Source organism: Homo sapiens, chromosome 8, assembly GCF_000001405.40.
Source record: "Homo sapiens chromosome 8, GRCh38.p14 Primary Assembly".
Taxonomy (NCBI): domain Eukaryota; kingdom Metazoa; phylum Chordata; class Mammalia; order Primates; family Hominidae; genus Homo; species Homo sapiens.
In genome coordinates, this window is record NC_000008.11 from 73,884,082 (window position 1) to 73,900,342 (window position 16,261).

The following is a 16,261-nucleotide window of genomic DNA, read 5'->3' on the forward strand; positions in this document are numbered from 1 at the left end:
GGAGACTCTGTCTCAAAAAAAAGAAAAAAAAGAAAAAAGATAAGACCACTTTTCCTTTGTGTGGAAGCTGGATTTTAGGCCAGGCATGGTGGCTAACACCTGTAATTCCAGCACTTTGGGAGGCCGAGGCAGGCAGATCACTTGAGGTCAGGAGTTCGAGACCAGCCTGGGCAACACACTGAAACTCCATCTCTACTAAAATTACAAAAAATTAGCCAGGCATGGTGAGAGCACTTGTAATCCCAGCTACTCGGGAGGCTGAGACAGGAGAATGGCTTGAAACTAGGAGGCGGAGGTTGCAGTGAGCCAAGATGGTGCCACTGCACTCCAGCCTGGGTGACAGAGTGAGACTCCATCGCAAAACAAAAAACAAACAAACAAAAACAAAACAAAACAAAAAAGCTGGATTATAGGGGAAAAAAACACTTTTCATGAAGAGATGAAGATAGATACCAGCTCAATCTCTTGCCCTTCTAAAATTTTCTTTTCTTTTCTTTTTTTTTTTTTTTTTGGAGACATAATTTCATAACACTTGTTCTCTTCTTGTTCAGTTGTTTGTTTTCTGGTCTTCCTGAAAACCAAGATGCTGTGCGAAAAACCCTGGATTGGGAACCAGAAGAGTTGAGTGCTCATCCTGATCCTTCCCAGGAGTGATACTAAACTTGTTTAACAACAGGTGTGGCAAAGGTGCCAACCATTCAGAACGAGGCTGCTTATTACTGGTGTGGGGTCCTGAAAAGTCTCTGCTGAGTGGGCTGGGTATCTTTAGTCAGACCATGGGGAATTCCAGGTTGCAGGGGCGATTGAGAGGCTATGGATAGGAGGTTCTTTGGGAGTCTGAGGCCAATAGCTATTTACTCACCACTGTAGAATGATTTCAATGATTTCTTTTTGGTGTGATGGAAATATCACACCAAATGAGTTGGTCGTTTAACTTCATTAAACTTTAGCTTCCTTATTTGTAAAGCGAGAACAAAATTTCCAACACATGGTTTATGGTGGGGTCTAAATAAGATCATGGATGTGAAGGATCTTTGTGAATTGCATAGCACCACATTGACGAGAAGCGATATCTAGTTTTCCTTCCTCATTACTCAGTGCTCTTTGTCCAGTAAGCAGGTGCAATGTTGACTGGAGATAAGGAATAGGGTATATGACAGTGACTGAAAAATACCTCTGCCAATATTCTCAAATTTCATATCACTTGTGAACATAGAAGAGTCTGGGCAGGCCAGGCGCGGTGGCTCACGCTTGTAATCCCAGCACTTTGAGAGGCTGAGGTGGGCGATCACCTGAGGTCGGGAGTTCAAGATCAGCCTGACCAACATGGAGAAACCCCATCTCTACTAAAAATACAAAATTAGCCGGCGTGGTGGCACAAGCCTGTAATCCCAGCTACTCAGGAGGCTGAGGCAGGAAAATCACTTGAACCCAGGAGGCAGAGGTTGCAGTGAGCTGAAATTGTGCCACTGCACTCTAGCCTGGGCAACAAGAGGGAAACTCCATTTCAAAAAAAAAAAAGACCTCATAAAGACCCTCATAATTCCCACTGTGTGAGGCACAGCAGAAAGATAGCTGTTGATGAACCAGTAAGTGAGCCCTCATTAGACACTGAACCTTCCAGTGCCTTGATCTTAAATTTGCCAGCCTCTAGAACTGTGAGAAATAAGTTTCTGTTGTTTATAGGCTGCCTAGTTGATGGTATTTTGTTATAACAGCTCGAATGGACTGAGACACTTTGAACGGAGCTTGCTATCGACAAAATTTCAAGGTTGGAGCCAGAGCAGTTAGGCAAGAGAAAGAAAGAAAAGGCATCCAGATTGGAAAAGAGGAAGTCAAATTGTCCCTGTTTGCAGATGACATGATCTTATATATCAAAAAAACCTAAAGACTCTACCAAAAAACTCTTAGAACTGGTAAATTAAAGTTATGGAACATAAAATAAATATACAAAAATCAGTTGTGTTTCTACACATGAACAATCAACTAGCTGAAAAGGAAGTCAAGAAAGCAATCCCATTTACAGTAGCTACAAAAAATAAAATAAAATACCTAGGAATAAATTTAACCAATGAGTGAGGAAAACTACAAAACACAAATAGAAGAAACTGAAGAGAATACAAATTGAGAGACATCCCATGCTCATGGATCAGAAGAGTTAATATTATTGAAATGACCATACTACTCAAAGCAATCTTCAGAGTCAGTGCAATCCCTATCAAAATCCCAATGGCGTTCTTCACAAAAATAGGGGGGAAATCTCTAAAATTTGTATGGAACCACAAAAGACCCCAAATACCAAGGGAATCTTGAGCAAAAAGAACAAAGCGGGAAGTATCCATCCTACCAGACCTCAAAATATACTACAAAGTTGTAGTAACGAAAACAGCATGGTACTGGCATAAAAACAGACACACAGACCAATGGAACAGAATAGAGAACCCAGAAATTAATCCACATATCTACAACCAACTTATTCTTGACAAAGGTGCCAAGAATACTCACCAAGGAAAGGCCAGTCTCTTCAGTAAATGGTGCTGGGGAAACTGGATATCCACATGCAAAAAAATGAAACTAGGCTGGGCACAGTGGTTCACACCTGTAATCCCAGCACTTTGAAAGGCTGAGACAGGAGGATCAGTCGAGCCCAAGAGTTTGAGACCAGGCTGGGCAACACAGCAAGACCCCGTCACCACAAAAATAAAAAAACCAGCCAGGCATGGTGGCACATGTCTGTGGTCTCAGCTACTTCGGAAGCTGAGGTAGGAGGATGGTTTGGGTCCAGGAAGTTGAGGCTGCAGTGAGCCATGACTGTGCCACTGCATTCCAGCCTGGGCAACAGAGTGAGACCCTGTCTCAAAAAGAAAAAGAAAAAAAATTGAGTGAAATTATGAAATTAGACCCCCAACTTTCACCCTATAAAAAATTAACTCAAAATGGATCAGAGACCAAAATGTAAGATTCAATATCATAAAACTACTAGAAGAAGACATAGGGGAACTGCTTCAGAACATTGGTCTGGGAAAAGGTTTTATGAGTAAGACCTCAAAAGCACAGGTAACAAAAGCAAAAATAAACAAATGGGATTATATAAACTACAAAGCTTCTGCACAGCAAAGAAAGCAATCAACAGAGTTAAAAGACAACCTACAGAATGGGAGAAAATATTTGCAAACTAATCATCTGACAGGAAATTAATATCTAGAATATACAAGAAACAAATTTTTTAACTTAATTTTATTTTTTGAGACAGGGTCTCACTCTGTCATCCAAGCTGGAGTGTAGTGGCACGATCATGGCTCACCACCTCAACCTCCCAGGATCAAGCAATCCTCCCACCTCAGCCTCTTGAGGAGCTGAGACTACAGGTGCACACTGCTGCACCTGGCTAATTTTTTATTTTTCTTGTAGAGAGAAGTCTCACTATGTTGCCAAGGCTGATCTTCAACTCCTTGACACAAGCAATCCTCCTGCCTCAGCCTCCCAAAGTGCTGGGATTACAGGTGTGAGCTACCACGCCCAGCAGAAATGGAAACATCTCAACAGCAAAAAACCCCAACAATCTGATTTTTAAAATGGGCAAATGATCTAAACAAACATTTCATAAAAGAAGAAATGGCCAACACATATATGAAAATATGCTTAGCATCATTAATCATCAGGGAAATGCAAATCAAAACCACAATGAAGTATCAACTCACCACAGTTACAATGGCTATCAAAGACAAAAAGTAACAAACACTAGTAAAAATGCAGAGAAAGGGAAACTTTTATACACTGTTGGTGGGAATACAAACTAATATAACCACTATGGAGAACAGGCTGGAAGTCCCTCAAAAAAACAAAAATAGAACTAACATATGATCCAGCAATCCCTCTTCTGGGAATTTATCCAAAAGAAAGGAAGTCATTCCAGCAAAGAGACATCTGCACCCCCACGTTTATTGCAGCACTATTCACCAGAGCCCAAATAGGGAATCAACCTAGGTGTCCAAGAACAGACGACTGGATAAAGAAAATATGGTACATATATACCACAGAATACTATTCGGCCATAAAAAAGAATGAAATCCTGTCATTCATGGCAACATGGATAGAACTGAAGGACATTATGTTAAGTGAATTAAGCCAGGAACAGAATGTTAAACAATGCATGTTCTCACTCATATGTGGAAGCTAAAAAAATTGATTTCAGAAGTAGAAAGTAGAACAGAGGATACTAGAGACTGGGAAGGGTAGGAGGAAAGGAGGGAGAGATCTGTTAAAAGATACAAAATTACAGCTCAATAGGAGGAATACATTCTTGTGTTCTATAGCACTGTAGGGTGACTATAGTTAACAATAATATATAGTTTTGTTACACTGTAGTCAGACATGAGCAGGGCAGGAAAGTGCCCCCCACCCCGACCAGGAATGTCAGGCAACCATCAGGTGATGGTCAGGCCATTGTTAAACTGTCTCTCTAAACTAACAATTGGTCGCAGCCAGCACCAGGGAAAGGCAGCCTCCCAATAGATAGAAACACCTGAAACTGGTGATCAGTAGCTTCCTGATAAGATCTCAGGAGTTGGGCAAGTAGGCTCAAGCATGCACACTAAGAGGCAAAATGGGAGTATTTAGCTGGTATATGACCTTCTTCTAGGAACACTTGACTGGTAAGGCAAAAATGCCTCAAGGGAGCATGTGCACAGTTTCAGTAAACACTGTGCATGTGGCCCCTCCCAAGTGCTGGCAGGCTACTGTACATGTGGACAGTCCACCCCAAGGGAAGAATCAGGAGAAAGGATGCAACCCTCCCGGAGAATGTCAATGTAAAAAACCCCTAGTCAAAGGTCAAACCATGCACTTGAATCTCTCAAGTGGCCTGCTTGGTCCTCTTCCAAGTGTATTTTACTTCCTTTTGTTCCTGATCTAAAACCTTTAAATAAACTTTTACTCCTGGTCTAAAACTTGCCTCGCAAAAAAAAAAAAAAAAAAATAGAAGGAAGGGCCAGGCACAGTAGCTCACACCCCCAATCCCAGCCCTTTGGGAGGCTGAGGTGGGTGGATCACTTGAGGTCAGGAGTTTGAAACCAGCCTGGCCAACATGGTGAAACCCCATCTCTACTAAAAATACAAAAGTTAGCCAGGCGTGGTGGTGGGTGCCTGTAATTCCAGCTACTCAGGAGGCTGAGGCATGAGAATCGCTTGAACCCAGGAGGTGGAGGCTGCAGTGAGCTGAGATCACGCCACTGCACTCCAGCCTAAGCGACAGGGTGAGACTGTCTCAAAAAATAAAATAAAACAAAAATAAAATAAAACTTGCCTCAGGCTCTCACTCTGCCTTATGCCCCTCAACTGAATTCTTTATTCTGAGGAGATAAGAATTGAGGTTGCTGCAAACCCTTATGGATTCTCCACTGCTAACAGTTTCAGATAGCTAGGAGGAGGATATTAAATGTTCTCACCACAAAAAAGGATAAATGTTTGAGATGATGGATATGCAAATTCCTATGATCTGATCACCATGCAGTATATGTATTAAAACATCACTGTGTACTCCATGTATATGTGCAATTATTATTTGTCAATTTAAAAAACCCAATAAAACAAACAGGCCAGATGTGGTGTCTCGTGCCTGTGATCCCAGCACTTTGGGAGGCCAAGATGGGAGGATCGTTTGAGCTCCGGACTTTGAGACCAGCCTAGGCAACATGGCAAAACCTTGTCTCTACTAAAAATACAAAAATTAGCCAGGTGTGGTGGTGTGCGCCTGTAGTCCTAGCTACCAAGAAGGCTGCAGTGGGAGGATTGCTTCAGCCTGAAAGGTGGCGGTTGCAGTGAGCCAAGATTGTGCCACCCTACTCCAGCCTGGGTGACAGAGACCCCATCTCAAAAATAAATAAAGAATACAATAAAACAAAACAAAAAAAATTAAGGTTGGGATGTTGCCTCTCCTCACCCACCAGTGTGCAAAGGTGGCCTCATTATTGTTCTATCTTCCCTACATATGGCATCTTCCCAGACCCGCCTTTATTAATGAAAATGCTAAAAGCAAACTTGGATTGAATATTTATATATGCCACATAAGCACTGTGAGAGGCACCTTGTATTTCTTGTGTAGGGGGAAAAAGTGCTTCCTTTTACCCTCCTAGGTTCAGATTCTTTGGCTGGTCTACAAATTAAATGGACATAAGGCAGATTAACAGAAAAAAACCATTTTATTTTATATTTATTTATTTATTTTTTTTGAGATGGAGTTTCACTCTTGTCACCTAGGGTGCAGTGCAATGGCGCAATATGGGCTCACTGTAACCTCCACCTCCCGGATCCAAGAGAGTCTCCTCCCTCAGCCCCCTGAGTAGCTTGGATTACAGGCATCTGCCACCATACCCAGCTAATTTTTGTATTTTTAGTAGAGATCGGGTTTTCACCATGTTGGCCAGGCTGGTCTCGAACTCCTGACCTCAGGTGATCTGCCCACCTTGGCCTCCCACAGTGCTGTCATTACAGGCGTGAGCCACCTCACCTGGTCAGAAAACCATTTTAATTACACACCTGCACGCAGGAGTCCTGCAAAAATGAGACTTAAAGAAGTGGCCAGATGATTGAGGCTTCTATGTAATGCTGAGCTACAAAAAGGGTTAGAGGTTTCTGGGGGTTGGTGGGGAGAGTGGAGACAAATTATGGGAGGGTGATGGGAGGAAACGTGATGAATAAAGGTTGCCTTGTTATACAGCTAAGTCTCTCAGGTGATAAAAGTTGTTTCAGAGTAGCTCTCTTCCTGGTACAGATGCCTTTATAAATGAAAATTTACTTTATATTTCCTTTACCAAGTGGTAACCTTTCAGAACTTCTGTGTCTGCAGTTCTCCAAAATAATATGCTAAACAAACAAACAAACAAAAAACAAAAACCACAGTCTATTTTAGGATGGCATATTCTGGTCTTCTACAGTCATATTTCAGAGTCAGGGTTTCTCCGTGTTGCCCAGACTGGTCTCGAACTTCCTAAGCTCAAGCAATCAGCCTGCCTAGGCCTCCCAAAGTGCTGGGATTACAGGCCTGAGCCACTGTCCCAGCCAATTATTTTATATTTAAAACAGTACAATGAAGTACATAAAATGATTTCCTTCTTACAAATAAGGAAACAGGCTTAGAGAGGCTAAATAATTTGCCAAAGTCACCCAGTTTATGAATAGAAAAATCCAAATTTTATCTTGGGAATTCTATTTTTTTTAATGTTGCTTTTTGTTTGTAATGATGTCCACACAAAGGATCTACCTTGGGAATTCTAACTCTAGGACTCTAAAAATCGAATTCTCCAACCAGTGCACATATTATCTTTCAGAATCCTTTCATTTAATGACCCATATCAATAGGTTTTAGAAAAAAAGTAATACTGATCAAGTTTATTCATTTTGAACTACAAAACTTAAGTTAAACTTAAGGTAGGATGGATTTTACGTTTTACCAAGGATATCTATGCCCCCAAATATATCTAATTGGTGAATTTTCAGTTCAACAAAATTCTTAAAAATGTAATTTTGTCCAACAAGCCTATATTGAATGCCAGACACTAGAGATATAGAGATGAATAAGATACAGTTCCTGCCCTCACATTGCTTATACTCAGGAAGATGGATCTAAGAAAGGATTTAACAGAATATGGGAAAAGTTACTTACTGGCTATGATGGAAGCAAACGGTAGGAGCATTTGACCCCACCTGGGAGCTAAGGACATGTGTCTGGAAGAGCCGACATCTGAGCAGAGGTGCAAAGGGGTACAGGAAAGGAATTGGGAGAGGAAACATAACTAGGTGATTGGTGTTTACAAGGGATGACAAACAGATTGGTATTGCCTAACAGAAATTGTAAAGACAGAGTGGAAGATGTGACCAAAGAGGCAAGTAAGACCAGGTCATGGAAGGTTTTATTTATTTAGCCTGTGACACAGCCTTGAGGTGATTCTCAGAACATGTGCCCTTCATGGAAGGTTCTGTTGGCTAATGAGGGGGCTGGACTTGATCTTAGAGATCATTTGGCACATTCGAGGTATTTCCAAATAGAAAGTGGTAAACCAGGCTGGGTGCAATGGCTCACGCCTGTAATCCCAGCACTTTGGGAGGCTGAGGAGTGTGGATCACCTGAGGTCAGGAGTTTGAGACCAGCCTGGCCAACATGGTGAAACCCCGTCTCTACTAAAACTACAAAAATTAGCCAGGCATAGTGGTGCGTGCCTGTAATCCCAGCTACTTGGGAGACTGAGGCAGGAGAATCGCTTGAACCCGGGAAGCGGAGGGTGCAGTGAGCCGAGATCATGCCACTGTATCCCAGCCTGGGCGACAGAGCGAGACTTCATCTCAAAAAACAAACAACAACAACAAAAACAAAAACAATAAACCAGACTTGTGTTTTAGAATGATTGTTCTAGTGGATGAACAGATTTGATCAGGTAAAGTCAGCAAAGAAAAATCAGGAAAGTAAGCTATTGCCAAGGAGTGAGAAAGTGAGGATGGACTAGGACATGTATGGAAAGGAAGGGAAGGGCTCTAGCGACAGGAGGGAGAGCAGACAGGACTGAGAGATCTGTTGTTTGTAGGGAAGGAGGAGGAGGAAAGAGTTGAGTGCTAGATTTCTGGTTTGAAAATAGAGGAGTTAGTAGAAATGGAGGCAATGAAAGTAGAAGAGGAAGAAAAAAGAATTCCCTTTTGGACATGTTTGAGATTTTCAAGTTTCCTATAGGTCATCTATTTCAGTCAGGTATTTTTCAAGTGTAAGTTGTAAAACCCATCTCAAATGAATTCAAATAGGGAGGGGAAAATAAATTCCTTAAGAAATTGTGGGAACAGAAGCTTAGCTGAAGTGGAGGGCCACTTTTTCTGTGTCTCTGTGTGAACAAAATAACCCCCAGTCTCCAGGCTCATATCCCTCCTACCAGCTCAGCAGCCCCAGGGATAGTTCTAGCTACAAAGATCTGATTGGCTTTAATCAGCTCCATCTCTCAACTAATCATCATAGTGATGAAGGAAGTGAGGTATTTACTCTGATTGGTTAGGTCTTGGCTGACTCTTACAGCATTGTGGCTGCAGTGTGGGGGTGGTCAGCCCCGCCCAGGTCACGTGTAACGAGACATCCCAGAAGGAAGAAGCTTCTTAAACTAAAATGGGAGGAGATAAGAGATGCCAGAGAAACATAAACTACAGATGTCCACTACTACAAGGAATATATTCAGTATATTCAGCAGACAATTCTACACCACAAGTTTCCGGCCCTTAAGCTGAGAGAAGGTGGGGAGAAACTCTCATTTAAGTAGAAGTTTTTGATTGTGATAACATTAGATGGCTTGAACATTTTAATGTCTGATAAGAGGCTGTTCTTGTGATAGAGGGACTAGAGCAGTTCTGGCAACTTTCTGAGATTTCATCCAGGGCAGAGAAAGCCCATCAAGCAGGTTTGAAAGGATAACAGGCAACAGCACCACATGGAGTCCAGCACATTCAGTAAAATGATTACATTTAAACCAGGAAAATAAAGAGATCACCCCAATACAGATTAGGAAAGAGAAGAACATGATGCTGAAGTCAGAAGCTAGGGGAACATGAGCATTTAGAAGCCAAAAAAAGGTCCTCAGGAATCAGTACTCAGTAGCGAGTACCATATTTTCTGTTGGAATGAGTTGTGGCGTGAACTGGTAACTGAAGAAATAGATACATCAAGAAGCTTAACTGAAGCCAGGTGCGGTGGCTCACACCTAAAATTCAACAGTTTAAGAAGCAGGGAGGGGGCAAGATGCAGTGGCTCACGTCTGTAATCCCAGCACTTTGGGAGGCCAAGGTGGACGGATCACTTGAGGTCAGGAGTTTGAGACCAGCCTGGCCAACATGGGGAAACCCCGTCTGTACTAAAACAGTACAAAAATTAGCTGGGCATGGTGGCGAGAGCCAGAAATCCCAGCTATGGGGGAGGCTAAGGCAGGAGAATCGCTTGAACCTGGGAGGCGGGGATTACAGTAGTGAGCGAGATCTTGCCACTGCACTCCAGCCTGGGCGACAGAGCAAGACTCTGTCTAAAAAAAGAGAAGAAGCAGCTGGGAGGGGAGGATTGGGATTGCTTGAGGCCAGGAGTTTGAGACCAGCCTAGGGAACACAGGGAGGGCCCCTCTCCCCATCTCTATCTACAACAAATAAAAAATTAGCTGGGCAAGGTGGTGCATACCTGTAGTCCTAGCTACTTTAAAGGCTAAGTTAGGAGGATCCCTTGAGCCTAGGCATTCAAGGCTGCAGTGAGCTAGGTTTGCACCAGGGCACCTCACTGCTCTCCAGCCCCGGCAACAGAGCAAGACTTTGTCTCAAAAAAAAAAAAAAAAAAGCTTAATCTGAGAAAAGAAAGTGGGAAATGAGATAAATGCAAAGTCAAGAGTAGGGAACAGTTTAGTTTTTTATTTGCTTATTTTAGAAAGAGATTTGAGCATTTTCATTGCCTAAAGAGAGTCTGAGAGGTCAAAGAATAAGGAGAGAGAGAAGTGTTTCAAAATGCTAGGAGTCTGAAGATGGAAGGCTGTGTGGGTGATGTACATTGGTTTTGAGGTGGAGGAAGACTCCTAATAGCTTTTTATGTTATAATACCATAGGACTGGGGGACATATTCTCCTATGATATGACATAGGAATTATAAAACCACAAGATAGACATGGTACGTCTCTGTAGAACAAGAATTTTACTGTTTGGTAAGTTATTTAAAACAGAGTGGGCCGGGCGCGGTGGCTCACTCCTGTAATCCCAGCACTTTGGGAGGCCGAGGCGGGCGGATCACAAGGTCAGGAGATCGAAACCATCCTGGCTAACACGGTGAAACCCCGTCTCTACTGAAAATACAAAAAAAAAAAAAAAAAAAAAAAAAAATTAGCCGGGCGCGGTAGCGGGTGCCTGTAGTCCCAGCTACTCGGGAGGCTGAGGCAGGAGAATGGCGCGAACCCGGGAGGCGGAGCTTGCTGCCGAGATCGCGCCACTGCACTCCAGCCTGGGGGACAGAGCGAGACTCCGTCTCAAACAAAAGAAAACAAAAAAACAGAGCGTTCTTCAGACTCTGGAATTCAAGTTCACACTCCAGTGGAAATTGAGAATCATTGAGGTAGATGTTAAACTTCATCATATTGCTTCCTTTTACTTAATTGGCTGTATCAAATGAAATGAAAAATAACAGTTTAAAAGGATTAGAGAAGCTGGCCTTGAAGAGGGATCTTACTGGCTGAAGATAAGTTTGAGCAACAAAATAAGGAATGTGACAAAATGAAACACATAACTATATACATAGACGTATCTATACATAATATAAATATGTATTGCACATAAAAGCAATGAGAGATTTAAAGAATAATAAGTTTGCAAACCCTAGTAAAATAATGGAGTCTGGCATTGATCTTCAATTCGTGTTAAAACCATTAGCTGAAAAGTTGAGGAAGAGTCTAATAATGGATGAATCACACGGACACACATAAATTTATTGATTAATTTTAATGTCAGTAAAAGTGGGACAGCCAGATATTATGTGCTTCCTGAAGGTGGTTAGGAAGTAATAGATTAAGCACTCTTACCAAAAGAATGTAATCAAGACCTATATCTCATGATCAGTCTATAGGAAATACAGAGTGAGTGAAGTGCAAAATAGAGGAACTTGTAAAACCACATCAAGAGGCTGCAAACAGCCAAAGTCAGATTATAGGAAATTCTACAGAACAAATGACTTAGTTTCTTCAATAAATGGTATAAAAGGGAGATCGAGGGAAACTCTCATAGATTAAAAGATACCCAAGAGACATATTAAACAAATGCAATATGTTAACCTCGTTTGGATCCTGACTCAAAGAACTAACTGTAAAAATACATTTTTAAAACAACAGGAGAAATTTTTTTTTTTTTTCTGAGATGGAGTCTCACTCTGTTACCCAGGCGAAGGGCAGTGGTGTGATCTCGGCTCACTGCAACCTCCGCCTCCTGGGTTCAAACGATTCTCCTGCCTCAGCCTTCCGAGTAGCTGGGACTACAGGCATGCGCCGCCACGCCCGGCTAATGTTTTTGTATTTTTGGTTGAAACGGGGTTTCACCATATTGGTCAGGCTGGTTGCAAACTCCTCACCTCAAATGATTCACCCGCCTCGGACTCCCAAAATGCTGGCATTACAGGCGTGAGCCACCGTGCCTGGCCAACAGGAGAAATTTCAACACAGGCTGGATATAGTTTGAAAAGACAGAGTAAAAGAACATTAGATATGATAGATATGAAAGTCACAAAAGTGTTATTAAATATATAGGCATAGATGATGGTTTCTGCAGAAAAATAACATGAATGGAACAGAAAAAATATGTAAAAGATTTGTGGCATAATGAGAAATATATATTTGGTCTTTGTCCTCAGTTCCTGACACAGAGCTCCTAAAACTCCTAATTTCCTGAGTGATAGGAGCACCTTTTGTTCTAATATTGTGACTCTTAGCAGGCCCCTAGATAACTAGCTTCAGGTTGGAGGCTAGAAAGATGGCACCTTGGCCGGGTGCGGTGGCTGATGCCTGTAATCCCAGCACTTTGGGAGGCCGAAGTGGGCAGATCACGAGGTTAGGAGATGGAGACCATCCTGGCCAACATGGTGAAACCCCGTCTATACTAAAAATACAAAAATTAGCTGGGTGTGGTGGTGTGCGCCTGTGATCCCAGCTACTTGGGAGGCTGAGGCAGGAGAATCAATTGAACCTGGGAGGTGGAGGTTGCAGTGAGCCGAGATGGCATCACTGCACTCCAGCCTGGGCAACAGAGCGAGACTCTGTCTCAACAACAACAACAACAACAACAACAACAACAAACAAAAAAGAAAGATGGCACCTTGATTAGAATCCTGGAACTTTCAGCCCCCCTCACCCCCAAACGTATAGGGAGAGGAGAGAAGCTGGAGATTGAGTTAATAATTGATTATGGCTGCATGATAAAACCTCCATAAAAAGTCCTAAACAATGGGGATCAGAGAACTTCCAAATTTTCATCCATATGCTGGGAAGATGGCACACCCCAACTCCACAGGAACAAAGGCTCCTGTTCTCTGGGCCATTCCGGACCTTGCCATCTGGCTGTTCATTTGTATACTTTGTAATAAATTGGTAAACATAATTAAGGTATGTTCTGAATTCTGTGAGTCCTTATAGCAAATTATAAAACATGAAGGGAGGCCAGGGGAGGTGGCTTATGCCTGTAATCCCAGCACTTAGGAAGGCTGAAGCTGGAGAATTGCTTGAGCTCAGGAGTTTGAGGCTGCAGTGAGCTATAGTCGTACCAATGCACTCCAGCCTGGGTAACAGAGCAAGACCCTGTCTCTGAAAAGAAGAAAAAAAGAAAAAGAAAATGAAAACATGAAAGGGGAGTCATGGGACCCCCTGATTTACAGTCAGTTGGTCAAAAGGACAGGAGGCCTGGGATGTGTGTCTGGCATTAGAAGTGGGGGCCGTGTCATGTGACTGAGGCTTCAATCTGTGGTGTCTGCACTAACTCAGAATAGTTACTGTCAAAATTGAGTTGTTGAATATTTGCTTGGTGCCCAGAGAATCGGAGAATTGGTTGTTGGTACCAGAAAACATCCCAGAGCAACCTAATAAATTATATATCCCTTAGTCATAAAACTAGCACCCAAGGAAATGGGAAAAATGCTAGCAGGAGTCCCACCAAGATCTGGAACAGGTACAAGGTGCACCCATCTCTATTACTACTTAACATTGTATTTGAGGTATTAGCCAGTTTAATCAGACAAGAAGGCAATTCTAATTGTTTTAATTTTGCATAATTTTTTTTTTGAGACTAAGTTTCGCTGTTATCACTCAGGCTGGAGTGCAATGGCGTGATCTCAGCTCACTGCAACATCCGCCTCCCAGGTTCAAGTGATTCTCCTGCCTCAGCCTCCTAAGTAGCTGGGATTACAGGTGCCTGTCACCACGCCCCGCTAGTTTTTGTGTTTTTAGTAGAGACGGGATTTTGCCACATTGGCCAGGCTGGTCTCAAACTCCTGAACTCGTGATCTGCCCGCTTTGGCCTCCCAAAATGCTGGGATTACAGGCGTGAGTCACCTCGCCCGGCCTAATTTTGCATAATAATTGAATAGAAAAAGTTTAAGCTTTCTATGTGTAGATGATATAACGGCATCCCCAACAACCCAAGATAATTCAAGATAAAGCAGAATAAAGTAATTTAGTAAGCTAGAAGGATAGAAGATCAACATACAACTATTAATACCTTCACATATGCAAAAAATAACTAGTTAACTTTGGAAAACAATATGATGGTTTTTCCATAAATGAAAAATATAGGCCAAGTGCAGCAGCTCATGCCTGTAGTCCCAGCACTTTGGGAGGTAGAGGCAGAAGAGTCACTTGAAGCAAAGAGATCAAGACCAGTCTGGCCAACATAGTGAGACCCCATTTCTACAAAAAATTAAAAAAATTAGCTGAGTGTGACAGCATGCCCATGTAGTACTACCTACTCAGGAGGCTGAGGCCGGAAGATTACATGAGCCTGGGAATCAAGGTACAGTGAGCTATGACCTCATCACTGCACTCTAGCCTGGGCAACAGAGCAAGAACCTGTCTCTATTAAAAAAATACATACATATATATGTATATATATTTTATATACATACATACATATGTCTGTATATATATTTATATACATACATAAAATTACCATATGATACAGCTACTCGGCTTCTGGATATATACCCAGAAGAATTGAAAGCAGGGTCTCAGGCCGGATGCAGTGGCTCATGTCTATAATCCCAGCACTTTGGGAGGCCAGAGTGGGTAGACTGCTTGAGTTCATGAGTTCGAAACCAGCCTGAGCAAAATGGCAAGACCCTGTCTCTACCAAAAAATAAAAAAATTTAGCTGCATATATTGGAACATCCTTGTAGTCCCAGTCACTTGGGAGGCTGAGGTGGGAGGATTGCTTGAGCCCAGGCTGGTGGAGGTTGCAGTGAGCAGAGATTGCGTCACTGCACTCCAGCCTAGGTGACAGAGTAAGACCCCTGTGTCAAAAAAAAAAAAAAAAAAAAAAAGAATTGTTGAAAGCAGGGTCTCAAAGATAAGTTGTACGCTCACGTTCATAGCAGCATTATTCACAGTAACTTAAATGTAGAAGCAACCCAGGCGTTCATTAACAGATGAATAGACAAGGAAAATGTGGTGTACACATACAATGGAATATTATTTAGCCCTAAAAAGACAGGAAATTCTGACAAATGCTACAATACGGATAAACCTTGAAGACATTATGCTAAGTGAAATAAGACAATTACAAAAAGGCAGTCATGTGCTGCATAACGTTTTGGTTAATGATGAACTGCATGAATGATCATGGTCCCATAAGATTATAATGAAGCTGAAAAATTCCTAGCACCTAGTGATGTTGTAGCCATTGTAACTTTGTAGCTCAATGGATTACTCATGTTTGTGGTGATGCTAGTATAAATAAATCTGTTGTGCTGTCAGTCATATAAAAGTGTATAGTAGTCCGGGCACGGTGGCTCACGCCTGTAATCCCAGCACTTTGGGAGCCAAGGTGCGCAGATCACGAGGTCAGGAGATTGAGACCATCCTGGCTAACACAAGGAAACCCCATCTCTACTAAAAATACAAAAAATTAGCCAGGCATGGTGGTGGGCACCAGTAGTCCCAGCTACTCGGGAGGCTGAGGCAGGAGAATGGCGTGAACCCAGGGAAACCCCATCTCTACTAAAAATACAAAAAATTAGCCAGGCATGGTGGTGGGCACCAGTAGTCCCAGCTACTCGGGAGGCTGAGGCAGGAGAATGGCGTGAACCCAGGAGGCAGAGCTTGCAGTGATACAAGATCACGCCACTGCACTCCAGCCTGAGCGACAGAGCGAGACTCTGTCTCAAAATAAATAATAAATAAATAAATAAATAAATAAAATAAAAATGTATAGTAGCCAGGCCAGGTGCGTGGCTCATGCCTGTAATCCCAGCACTTTGGGAGGCTGAGGCGAGCGGATCACTTGAGGTCAGGAGTTCGAGACCAGCCTGGCCAACATGGCGAAACCCCGTCTCTACTAAAAATACAAAAATTAGCCAGGCATGGTGGCATGTGACTGTAATCCCAGCTACTTGGGAGGCTGAGGCAGGAGAATCACTTGAAACCAGGAGGTGGAGGTTGTAGTGAGCCGAGATCACGCCACTGCAGTCCAGCCTGGACAACAGTGAGACTCTGTGTCAAAAATTAAAAAAAATATA

General features: G+C 42.5%; 1 annotated feature.

The window, feature by feature from the left end:
* Nucleotides 9,130-9,209: an enhancer, noted in NCBI's record as "active region_27535". NCBI's record gives its function as "activates an Ori minimal core promoter by ATAC-STARR-seq in GM12878 lymphoblastoid cells {active_cell/tissue: GM12878}" and the evidence as "EXISTENCE:reporter gene assay evidence [ECO:0000049][PMID:35858748]".